This window comes from Homo sapiens, chromosome 13, assembly GCF_000001405.40.
Source record: "Homo sapiens chromosome 13, GRCh38.p14 Primary Assembly".
NCBI lineage: Eukaryota > Metazoa > Chordata > Mammalia > Primates > Hominidae > Homo > Homo sapiens.
The window spans coordinates 31224905-31237137 of record NC_000013.11 but is presented as its reverse complement, the minus strand read 5'-3'; the positions used below and the strand labels follow the sequence as shown (position 1 = coordinate 31237137).

General features: G+C 43.4%; 1 protein-coding gene across 6 annotated transcripts in view; it reads right to left on the bottom strand.

Annotated features, from left to right (window-relative positions):
- Positions 1 to 12233, bottom strand: part of B3GLCT (beta 3-glucosyltransferase) — a 132302-nt gene that overhangs the window by 95139 nt on the left and 24930 nt on the right. For all 6 annotated transcript variants that reach the window (NM_194318.4, XM_011534936.2, XM_047430111.1 and 3 more), the window contains one exon: positions 7844 to 7953. In NM_194318.4, the coding sequence (NP_919299.3) occupies positions 7844 to 7953 (110 nt within the window). The remainder of the gene's footprint in view (positions 1 to 7843; positions 7954 to 12233) is intronic.

The window sequence follows — 12233 nt, the reverse complement described above, 5'->3', positions numbered from 1 at the left end:
TTTTTTTTTTTTGAGATGGAGTCTCGCTCTGTTGCCCAGGCCGGAGTGCAGTGGTGCGATCTCGGGTCACTGCGACCTCCGCCTACTAGGTCCAGGCAACTCTCCTGCCTCTGCCTCCAGAGTAGCTGGGATTACAGGAGCTGGCCACCACGACCGGCTAATTTTTGTATTTTTGTATAGACAGGGTTTCACCATGTTGGCCAGGCTGGTCTTGAACTCCAGACCTCAGGTGATCCGCCCACCTTGGCCTCCCAAGGTGCTGGGATTACAGGGGTGAACCACCATACTTGGCCCCATTCATGGATCTCTAAAGTGCTATTCATGGAATAAAGTCAACTTTTAATCATACATGTGGCATAAAAAACTCTGTAAAAGAAAAAATGATCCAGAATCAAGTATAATTGCAAACCCTAAAATCTTTCTGGACAGTTCAACTTCCAAAAGACTTGTTAACCCAAAAATGAAATTACCTAAGCTGTAACAGCTCACTATGGATCTTGTGACCAAATTAAAGTTTGGTCATAACTACTTGGGTGCTCTTAGCTGGCTTCATCCAAGCAAAGAATTTCAGAACAATAACCGACCTTCGTATAATTAAAGGGAAGCTTCCTTATTGCTTTAGTCTAGGCTCTACTTACTATCACAGAAATTAAATGCTGGGGGTGATGGGGGTGCATTGCCTAACAATATTGGTTAATTACATGCCTTTAAATGTAAAACCAATGTTGCCACCTAGTGGCAATCTAAGTCCCCTACTCAACAGGCTGTCTAAACAGAAAACTGCAAATAAAGGACAATAAAAATTAAGTATAAGCGTGATAAAGCTAAATAGATGCATAGAATAAAGCACTAAAAAGTCAAATACTTTAAAGAAATGTAGCTATTTCCTAAGCTTCAAAAGCTAAGGACAATGAATCAATGGAAATACAGGTTCTAATGCTGTGTGTGTTTGGCAATCCACTACGTGCTATGCGGGATGCAAAAAGGAATAGGGAACAGGTCCCACCTCCCTCTGGAGCCTGAAGGCAGAACAGATACACTGAAGGACAAAGTACACCTTGGGGGTGCATACGTGAAATGCCAAATGAGCATCCAAGGAAATAGGTGTCTACAGATGAAAATGTCCATCACAGTGGACTGAGGTTACCTGCAACAACACAGAGTCTGTCATAAATCCTGAAGGCATTAGTAAGTGACAGAAGCCAGTCGCAAAAGGACAAATACCTATGACTCCACTCTTCGAGAAATCCAGAAAAATCAAATTCACAGAAACAGCAAGTAGAATGGTGGTAGCCAGGGGTTGGGGTAGGGAGGAATGGGGAGTTGTTCAATGCATACAGATTTTAGTTTCACAAGATAAAAAAGCTCTGGAGATCTGTTACACAACATGATTCCACTTGACACTGCTGAGTTGTACACTTAAGACGTGCATTTTAGGTGTTTTTTATTACAATTAAAAAATAATAACAGTGGTGGTGCCAGCAACAACGAAGCACACTGAGTGGGATGCATCCTGAGGTCAGTGCGCAGGCCACAGTCCCAATTAGTCAGGCAGTCTGAGACCAGTCTCTCTGAGGCCTCTCCAGAGAATGTCGCATTACTGATGGCAATTTGACGGGCCAGTCCTCAGGTAGCCAGCATCCCACACTGCCCCTCCTCTCTGTATCCCTTCGTATGGCCCTTCAGTCTGCTCCGACTCTGCCCAGCCCCTAGACACTGGTCTTCCCGCAGGGCCCATGGCTTCCCCTGGAAGCAGCACCTTCAAGCTTCTAGCCACTACCTATGTATGCTGCTGACTCTCAAATCTACCATCTTCTGGCCAAATCTTTCTCCTGAGCGTAAAACAAATATCCAGCCTCCAGCTACTCACACCCTCACTTCAGATATGACACCCAAAGTCATCATCACCCTCTAAACCTGAGAACCTGTCCTCAATCTCACTCAGCAGCCCCACCTCATCTGAGTCCCAGCTGGAAGCGTCCCTGCCATTCTCTCCAGCCTGGGTCCATCTCCCACCATTCTGGCCCTGCAGCACCCCTACGCCACCCCCAGCCAGATCCATGGCCCTGTCCCCAGCCCAGGGCTTCTCAAACTGCTGTGGTGGAGGGCACACAGCAGTCTGCAACCCGCCCTGTGCAGCATGGCCCAAGACTAGTCCCACGACCTTAGAATGAGGTTCCTCGCCCAGTCCTGGCTCTCTTAATGCCATTCTCCCTAAGGCCACCAGGGGATGGTTTTAAAACACAAACTCTACCAGGTCTACTCCCTAACGGCACTCCCTGGTAGTAATCCTCAACCAAGGGGCACTTTTAACTGTAATAGAGACCAGGGTCACTGCTACATGTATTGCCAGAGACGAGAGATGCTAAACACCTGTATACCAAAGAGATACACCTCAGAATACCAGGAGGGCCCTCAGAGAAGCCCCCAGAGAAGCCTGGCTCCCCAGAGGACATACAATTCTGCGTGACCATGATCCATCCTGACTTCCCAGGCCTGTGGCCCACACTGCCACCCCCCATCCGCTGGCCCCAGGACAGCATCACAGCCCACACACCTGTGCTTCCACCTCTCACCTGGCCACCTTACCTGCTGTCCTCCTTACCCTGAAAGCCCTCCCCTCCCACCTCAGCCTCAACCTAGCTAGTGCCTAATAGGTAGGCTCAGTTCCAGGCTCAGCACTTTCAGAAATCCCTCCTTGAGCATCACATCCCCTCCTCAGCTCCCCTGCCCCACTTCACCATGGTAGGGGCCCTCCTTTGTGTCCCAAGTACCCTTCTATCACTGCTCTTCCACCTTGCTTGAAAACTGCCTGCTTGGCCAGGCACAGTGGCTCATGCCTGTAATCCCAGCACTTTGGGAGGCCGAGGCAGGAAGATTACGAGGTCAGGAGATCAAGACCATCCTGGCTAACATGGTGAAACCCCGTCTCTACTAAAAATACAAAAAAAAATTAGCCAGGTGTGGTGGCGGGTGCCTGTAGTCCCAGCTACTCGGGAGGCTGAGGCAGGAGAATGGCATGAACCCGGGAGGCGGAGCTTGCAGTGAGCTGAGATGACGCCACTGCACTCCAGCCTGGGCGACAGAGTGAGACTCTATCTCAAAAACAAAGGAAAAGAAAAAAAAAAAAGAAAAACTGCCTGCTGATGGCCCTTCTCCTCTCTGGGACTGTGCATTCTTCAAGTACCAAGACTATGTCTTGTTGATCTTTGTATCCCCAGTACTTTGCCCGTAGTATGTCTTCAAATACCAAAAGAATGAATGAGAGGTTCATAGATAAATTCTGTAGACTAAGTGAGTCCTTGATATGAAAACAAAATCCTGACTTTGGCAGAGACATCGATTTGTCCCTCTGTATCCATGCTCCCTTTCCCTTCTAAAGATTAGAACCCCTTGAGTTCTAGCTGAATCCAGGGCCACCCAACTAGACATTACACTTCCCAGCCCAAGTGTACCCACATGATATATCCTGGACATAGGTACATAAAGGGACACAACATATACAACTGCAAGGTACAAAATCCTTAAAAGGAAGCAGCTTGGCCTACACACACTGGAATGCAGAATGTAGGTCAGCTTCAACCAAGCAGGACAAGACACTTCATCCAAGTAACAGGACAGAGGAACCTGGAGCAGAGCTGCCTCCCCAGGCCCCCACCAACTAGACTGTTGGGTGGGGAGAAGTACATCTTCCATTTTTTTTTTTAATTTTGTTTCAATACTGAAGGATTTCCATCTTCTTTAAGTCACTGTTATGTTGTCTGTGTTAGTCAAGTGAATCTTCTGGTTCTTTTTCATATTATCTCCAAAAGATTTAATTATTCATAACATCATATTTTTCTAGAACCAACTCATACCTAATTTTTTTTCTACTCTTCTTCCTAAACTCTGCGGTTTCACTGAGAGAAATAAATAGCTACTATATTTAATAAGAGGGAGGTTGGCCATTATCCATTTAAGAGTTAACAGGAATAAAATACATAAGTTACTTAAATTTTCATTTTCATTTGATAAATTTCTTAGAGTCAATTCAATTGCCATATGCTGAATACCTACTATGTTCAAGGTGCTATGGAAGGATCAAAAGAAGTGTCTGCCTTCAAAGAACTTGTGATTTAATACAGCATGTGTGTGCATGCATGCGTACATACGGCCAAAGGTCCATACTGTATGTAGGAGAAATACAAGGAAACTTCTATTACAATAGAGAAGAAAGTAACTCTGGGAAAGAAAAGATCATGAATTTCAAGGATTCAGTGCTTGGTTCTGAAGAATCAACTCATAAGACATAGTCTATTCTCTGCTCTCAAAATTTGTAAAAGAGACAGGTAACAAATAATACACAATGAAAAGTATACAATAGAAGTTTGTCCAAGATACAAAAGTGGAACCAAAAAGGAAGTAGCTTAGCACGGCGGCTCAAGATGGTGCACGGAAAACCTTTATGGGGATACATGAGCTTGACAAGAAGACAGGATCTACAATATACAAAGCCACAGGGGCATAGCATGTGATACGGTCTCAATCTGTGTCCCCACCCAAATCTCATGTGGAATTGTAATCCCCAATGTTGGAAGTAGGGCCTGGAGGGAGGTGACTGGATCATGGGGGCAGTTTCTCATGGTTTAACATCATCCCCCTTGGTACTGTCGTGAGGAGAGTGAGTTATTGAGAGATGTGATTGCTTAAAAGTGTGTAGCACCTCCCCTCTCTCTCTAACCCTCCTGCTCCAGCCACATAAGATGTGCCTGCTTCTTCTTCACCTTCTGCCATGATTGAAAGTTTCCTGAGGCCTCCCCAGAAGCTGTCATGCTTCCTGTACAGCCTATGGAACCATAAGCCAAGTAAACTTCTTTTCTTTATAAATGACCCAGTCTCAGATATTTCTTTATAGCGATGCAAAGATGGACTAATATGGCAAGTGATCCTAGAACCATATACTAGTTTGAAGTTACTGGCAAATAAAGCACAAGGGGATGAGCGGTGGAAGATGAAGCTGGGATCTAGAGACAGGAACTTCAGTTAATAAGCTCTGGTGCAACTGTCTTGGCACAAGGTAACAAGCAATGGAGGTTCCTTCTGCTCTGTTGAATCCACACCTGCTCAGCTGCCTACCATCTTGCCTCAATCCTGACAGACACCAAAGAGAAGCTATAACACATTCTCCATTCCTAAATACAACTGCCAAGTTCAGCTTACACAGGAACCTCTAACCATCCTCCCCAGAGCCTAGAGTCAGTTTTAAGCATCCAGTGCTCTTGTACCTGGGCCCTATCCTTTGCGGAGCCCCAGGGCCTCTCAAAGAAGCAGGCATACCCAGCCCCCAGCAACAGCCTGCCAACTCTCATTTTTCCTAAGGGGAAGAGGAGAAGAAGGAATACTTTATAATTTCTATTGCTTCCCACCAAAACGTACCCACATGCCTTATCCCTGCTGTAAACCAAGTCCCAGGAACACTGCCCTGCTCGAAGGTGCTCTAAAAACTACTCTTCCCAGAAGAACAGAAGGGGAAAGGCAGGTAGAGAGCCAGCAATGAATATCCATTTGCACAGAAACAAAATTGGCCAAAAATAAAATAAGAGTGGATGAACAGTAGAGGAAGTATAGGGGCATATGCAATCAACTAGACTTGGATGGCAAGGGGCGTCGCTATTCGTATCCATGGAAAGGACCACTGGTATGGATTAAATGGGGAAGATACATAATCTAAAAAACACAAATCTGTATCTGCAAAAAGAAAGGTATTGCTGGGAGCAGGGGCACATGCAGGTGACATAGGGAAAAGTGTGCTCTTAATTCATATGAGTAAGGGATGCCTAACTGTGGTTCTGATGTCATCACTGATCACAAAATTTGGGGTAACTGGCAAGGTCTGACTGAGCAAAATCCAGTTAGAGCTTCCCTGGATCCACCTGAGGGATGGATTACCTGGGCTCCTGGCTCCTCCTCCTCCCTGCAGCAGCCTGCGCGTGGCCACCCCACTAGCGCCTCCAGCAAAGCAGATGGAAGAAGCCAGCCAGTCAAGGTTGCTGCATGTCTGCCTCTCTAATAAAATCCAGGAAGATTTAGTAGGAGAAAACCTCCAAAAGTTAGGTTTCCAAAAAAAAGAAAAAAAAATTTTTTTTTTCTTTGAGACAGAATCTTGCTCTGTCACCAGGCTGGAGGGCAGTGGCGCGATCTCAGTTCACTGCAACCTCTGTCTCCTGGGTTCAAGTGATTCTCCTGCCTCAGTCTCCTGAGCAGCTGGGACTACAGGCGCACACCACCACGCCCAGCTAATTTTTATATTTTTAGTAGAGACAGGGTTTCACCATATTGGCCAGGATGGTCTCGATCTCTCAACCTCATGATCCACCCACCTCGGCCTCCCAAAGTGCTGGGATTATAGGCGTGAGCCACTGCACCCAGCCAAAAAAGAAAAATTTTTAACTTATCAAGCTGCTCCTATCTCTGACTACTGAAAAACAATCTATAGCATGTGTTACTTTCCTCTCCCTTGAGAAAGTACGATGTTTCAAGCAGAGCAACCCAGAGAACCTGGCCTTGCAGGGACGCAAGACAGTTTGATACAGTTTATATATAAAGCATTTAAATATTAAGAACAATAAACCTTATTCCCAGCAGTTCCTTGCCTTGAATACTGTTAAGGCTGTTTATGTTTCCACTGACATTTCTGACCCTTTATTTTCCAATACCCATGAAGAGAAAGAAAACAATCTGTCACGCACATATGTCTCTTGTCAAAGAGTTCTTTCCTGGGAGAACAAAGGGATAGCATTTATCTACAGGCAAGCACTTCGGTCTTGAAGGACATCACAACATGGTGCAGAGGTCTTGATGGACTTACTTAGCTAAAGAAGGAAAGCACCTATAGGGCAGCACAAGGTAGATCCTCCCTCACTCCAAACCTCCAGTATTATTCAGAGCAGCTTTATATTCTGTTCATGCCTATTTTAAATGTTATTAAAATGTACCTATATGCGTAGATTTTTCTCTCCATAATCCTTCTGGAATATTACATTATAAATCAACTCAAAAGTTAAATTAATGACATCCAATTAAAAAAGTAGATTAAGAGACTCATAGAGGAAGCACTGCGCTAAGATTAATGAAAATGTTATTCCAACATGAAAATTGCCTTAGAACTTGTTACCAAAATTTTGAACATTAATTATCTCTATTTTAAGCCTTGCCTTTAGAAAGTTATTTCTTCTACTTGCTTTTATCATACTTCGTGACAAATCTACAGTTGCCCCACACAATTATATAGTTCTCTTAAATTTATATATATTTTTATATATATATATACACACACACAAAAAAAAATTCAGAATATGATAATTTGTGCATTAGGAATTAACCAAAACGTTTTTTTCCTTTTTTTTTTTTGAGACAGAGGAGTCCCACTCTGTCACCCAGGCTGGAGTGCAGTAGTGTGATCTTGGCTCACTGCAACCTCTGCCTCCTGGGTTCAAGCGATTCTTCTGCCTCAGCCTCCTGAGTAGCTGGGATTACGGGCATGCATCACCAGGCCCTGCTAATTTTCGTATTTTTAGTAGAGATGGGGTTTTGCCATGTTGGCCAGGCTGGTCTCCAATGCCTGACGTCAAGGGATCCGCCCACCTTGGCCTCCCACAGTGCTGGGATTACAGGCGTGAGCCACCACGCCCAGCTGACCGAAACATTTTCAACAACAAATACTCAATATTAAATAAGCAAAATGAGTCAGAGGAGTTATTCTCGTCTAAATAAAAACTGATTCTCCACGGATCCAGTGTTTTGGAAAACATCAAGGTAATCAAGAAATACATAACTGGCAGACCCCCCAGCCATCGCTACGTACCTGTGTAAGATCTGCAGCCTGCTTTAAGATGCTTTTTTTTAACTGCTCTGCTCTCTTTGCATGAAAAGAATTACTTTGACTCTGGATGACGAATACAATTCCTTTTAAGTCTAGAACAAAAAAAAATAGTTTTCAGGTATTTCTTTTTACAAAATTATTAAAATAAACTTGAAAACAAGTGAAAAAATAGCTACAAAGCAAACCTTCAGGCAGTAAACTCTTAATGGGAAAAAATCAATTCGTATGTAATTCTAGAGACAAAATTTTCTCTCTTTTTAAACTGTTTCCCAAGCTTCCTTCCTAGAAGTTAGCAAGTAAATAAGCTGACTGTACCAGACCCAGTCTATGGCACCAAACTGAGAATGTGCTCCCGCATATGTCAGAAAGAATGGCTGAAAATGTGTGAAAATATCTAGAACACTAATCTTCCCAGTAGCTGAAAATCTAACTTTCACAAGTAGCTTTTTAACAATTCCCACATAATCCTACACTGTGCTGCTACCTGTTATGAGTTGAAACATGTCCTCTAAAATTCATATTTTTTAAGTCCTAACCCCCAATACCTCAGAATGTGACTTCATTTAGAATTGGGTCTTCACAGAGGTAATCAAGTTAAAGCGAGGTCATCAGGGTGAACCTTAATCCAATATAACCAGTCTCCTTAGAAATTTGGACACATAAATGACACACAGAGAAGGAAGATGATATGAGGAGACACACAGAGAAGATAGCCATCTACAAGCCAAAGACAGAGGCCTGGAACAGATCCTTCCTTCCCAGCTCTCAGAAGGAACCAACCCTGCCCACACCTTGATGTCAGACTTCTAACCTCCAGAACTGTGAGACAATACATTTCTGTTGCTTGTACTAAGCCACGTTTTGTGGTACTTTGTTATGTAGTCCTAGCTCACTACTACACTACTTCAAGAATGTTCTGAATGGTCCTTTAAGGTGACACTCAACAGTAACTGCCCATCTCCCATGAGTTCAGAAGGGTTTGCAAATAAGTAACTCAATAATCCCTACCCTACCTCATAAGGCACCTAGCCAGGATTAGGTGTTATCTCCAGGAAACGGCCACAGCAATTCCTCAGCAACAGGGCTTTAGCGTGAAGTCCTGCATAAAGCCCATCTATAACACCCCATGCTGGCAGTATTCACCAGCCTGCTAGAGATGCACCTGAAGGCAGCCAGCTTTTTACAACGGCGAACAGGAAGGAAACCCGAGTATGTCCTGCCCACAAAGACCATCAGAGGGCTTGCCAATGGCAGTAGCAAGGCTGCCTCCCAGAGAAACACGTTAGGCCTCCCCAGGTTCTGGGCCTATAACAAAGAAATGGATAAAACAGTGATTGTGTCAGCACCCTGCCACCAGACAGGAATGTCGGCAGAGGAAGGTGCCACGTAAATTCTAGCCTTCAGCCAGATTGTCAGCAAAGCCATGTGGGGACCTTTCCCCCACCATGAATCTTTCTCTTTAACACCTCAGCTCAGAGAACCTAATTTGATTTTAATTTTATTCCATTATATTTTATTGTTCTTATGCTCTATTCTATAGGTCCATTCATTTATTCACTTGCTCAAATATTCACACAACAGATAGCTCCACAGTGAGCCATCTAGATCCTAAAAATAATCTAAAATGCTCTTTGGTTAAAACTAAATAAAATATGTAAAAGGAAATGCTGAACAGCCTACTGAATATGACCTAATTCCTTTTCTTTAGGAGTTTATATAAATAGGAACATTCCATATACCTGTCTCTATTTTAAACCAGCTTCTCGGCTTTATATGTTGGACACATGGGTAAGACTTAAATGGGTGTCTTCAGTTTCAACTGAATTCTTATCTTGGATCTACTACATCTGAAACATTAATATAAACTGACACATCTAAAGAGGAGTTATAAGGATTTCTTTTTGTTAAGAATGGAGTAAATAAGCCTCAGAGAATAATTTTTTTTTTAATTTAATAAAGAAGATGCACATTCCCAATGACCCAGAAATTCCACTCTTATTAATCATCCTTGAGAAACTCAGATGTGTGCACAAGGATATATGACAAAAGTGTTTACAGTGGCACTGTGTAAAAGAAAAAAATGGGAAGCAACAAAAATATCCACTAACAAGATACATTAACTTGAATACTATGCAGCAATAAAAATTAACCAGTACTACATGTATCAATCCAGATGGATAAATCCCATAGTCATAATGCTGAAAAAAGCAAGTTGCAAAAGAATAACTATATAATAGTTTGCAACAATATAAACATAAATATATTAAAATGTATATATACCAAACATATACACACATAGCATGTGAAGGTATAAAAGATTACATGAGTATGATAAATACCAAATCAGGATAATGGTTAAAAGGTTTCAGCTGTGTTAATGGTATTTAATTTCTTAATCTAGGTGATATTTTATTTCTTAATCTAATGAACATATAATACATGAATGTTCATTATATTATTCTCTTTATAACTTCTTATATGTTCAAATTATTTCCTAATACTTTTTTTAAAGAGTAGATTTCTCTATCAAAAGGTTAATCCTAGCTGGGCATGGTGGCATGCACCTGAAGTCTCAGCTACTTGGGAAGCTGAAGTGGGAGGATTGCTTGGGCCCAGGAGTTTGAGGTCAGCCTGAGCAACACAGCAAGACTACATCTCTAAAAAAAAATAAAAATAAAAAAAAAGCTTAATCCTGCGCTCACCGCTCATCACAGTAACCAACTCCTGCCACTCCTACCAGCTCAGCAAAGCTCCCACTGTCTTCTCATTGAAGACAACAGCATTTCCATACAGGGAAGAGGATTTGCAAGATTAAAGAGCAAATTCTTCCCATACCTGGGTCATGTCCTGTGAGTTGTATCTGTCCTCTTTTTAACATAGCCACTAAGAAATCATGCTGGCCTCTCCCTTTTTCCTATACTTCAATCATGCACGCTTCATTCATTCATTCAGCAAACATCTTCTGAGTACCTACTAAGTGTAGGGCTCTGTGATACAAGAACGAGTGAGCCCAGTCGCAGCCCTGGAGTGTCTGAGCCTCGTTCATAGGCAGGCCATTGTAACACAAAGCAGTAAGTGGAAAGCCAGAGCTAACTGAGCACAGGGCACTGGAGCCCAGACAATCGGGGGCGAGTGCAAGGAGAGCTTCCAGGAGGAGGTTATTTCCTGAGTTTCCTTTAAAAAGCAGCAGACACACACACAGAGGGTAGCAGATCAGTGGGATCACCACAGAGCCCACAGCCTGTGGTATCTCTGCAGTCTCCCTGAGTGAACGACCATGTCTGTCAGGCATTTCTGAGAAAAGGAGCACGGCGGGGTACAGTAGGTGATAAAGTTAGAAACGGAGGCAGATCCGTTAAGACAAATCATGAGGGATTTATATACCATGCTGAGAGGCTTGGGCTCTAGATTAATCACTTTCAAATGGGGGAAGGGCCTCATGAGCCAAGTGGGGTCCCAGGCAGTGGGGACTTCCCAAAGGAGGGAAGGAGGACACTGTCCCGAAGATGGGGGAAAAAAGGGGTGGGAAGACCCTCCCCACAGAGGGAGCAGTGAAAGTTTGGGACAGAATCAAATTTAGGGCAGGAAAATACTAACGGTTAGGTATAGCCAAGGAACAGGACGCATGGGGGTATTATCGAGGACAAGGCTAAAGGGGAGGGGAGCTCCTGCAACCCTGATCATAATGAATGCCGGAAGATCACTGACATGCTAGTCAGCCCCAACCCATTCCAGAAAAGAACCAGGTTAGTATAGTTAGTACAGTTCGGTGCTGAAAACAGCTTATGTGTTTAAATTCCTGCTGTTCTTTATAGCAGTACCAAGAAATATTTTCTGACATACAGCCTAAGCCATCCCTTCACTGAATCACATTCTGGCTGAGTCCAGATCCCAGAGCTTATCTTGGTAGCTGTCTTCTCTGTGTATGCCATCCAACCACCTGACTCTTAAGCTCCTGCTGCCCAGTCCACAGAGCTAAATAAGACAATTCCATGATTTCCTTATCATCTTGGTTGCACTTCTTTAAACTCACTGCAATCTGCCTTCAGCAAACACTGTCACAACTCAAGATGGATTGTCATTGTTTCTCCCCCAGGAATGGGCAATAAATGGGCCGCACACTAAGTGCCTGACAATAATAATCAGAGTGACAGGCTAAAAGGGGAAGATAAAGAAATTAGCAAAGGATACCTAAAGGGCCAATGCAATGCCAAAGCCAATGGTGAGTGGCAGACAGTGCTCAGGAAAGGCAGCAGGACAGAGAGATAGTTAGAAAATGGATGCTGAAGAGCAATGATTCTTCTATGAAAGCAGAAGAAACCAATGCTCTCTATGTCTTCAGTTGCTGAGCACCTACCATGGGCCAAGCACT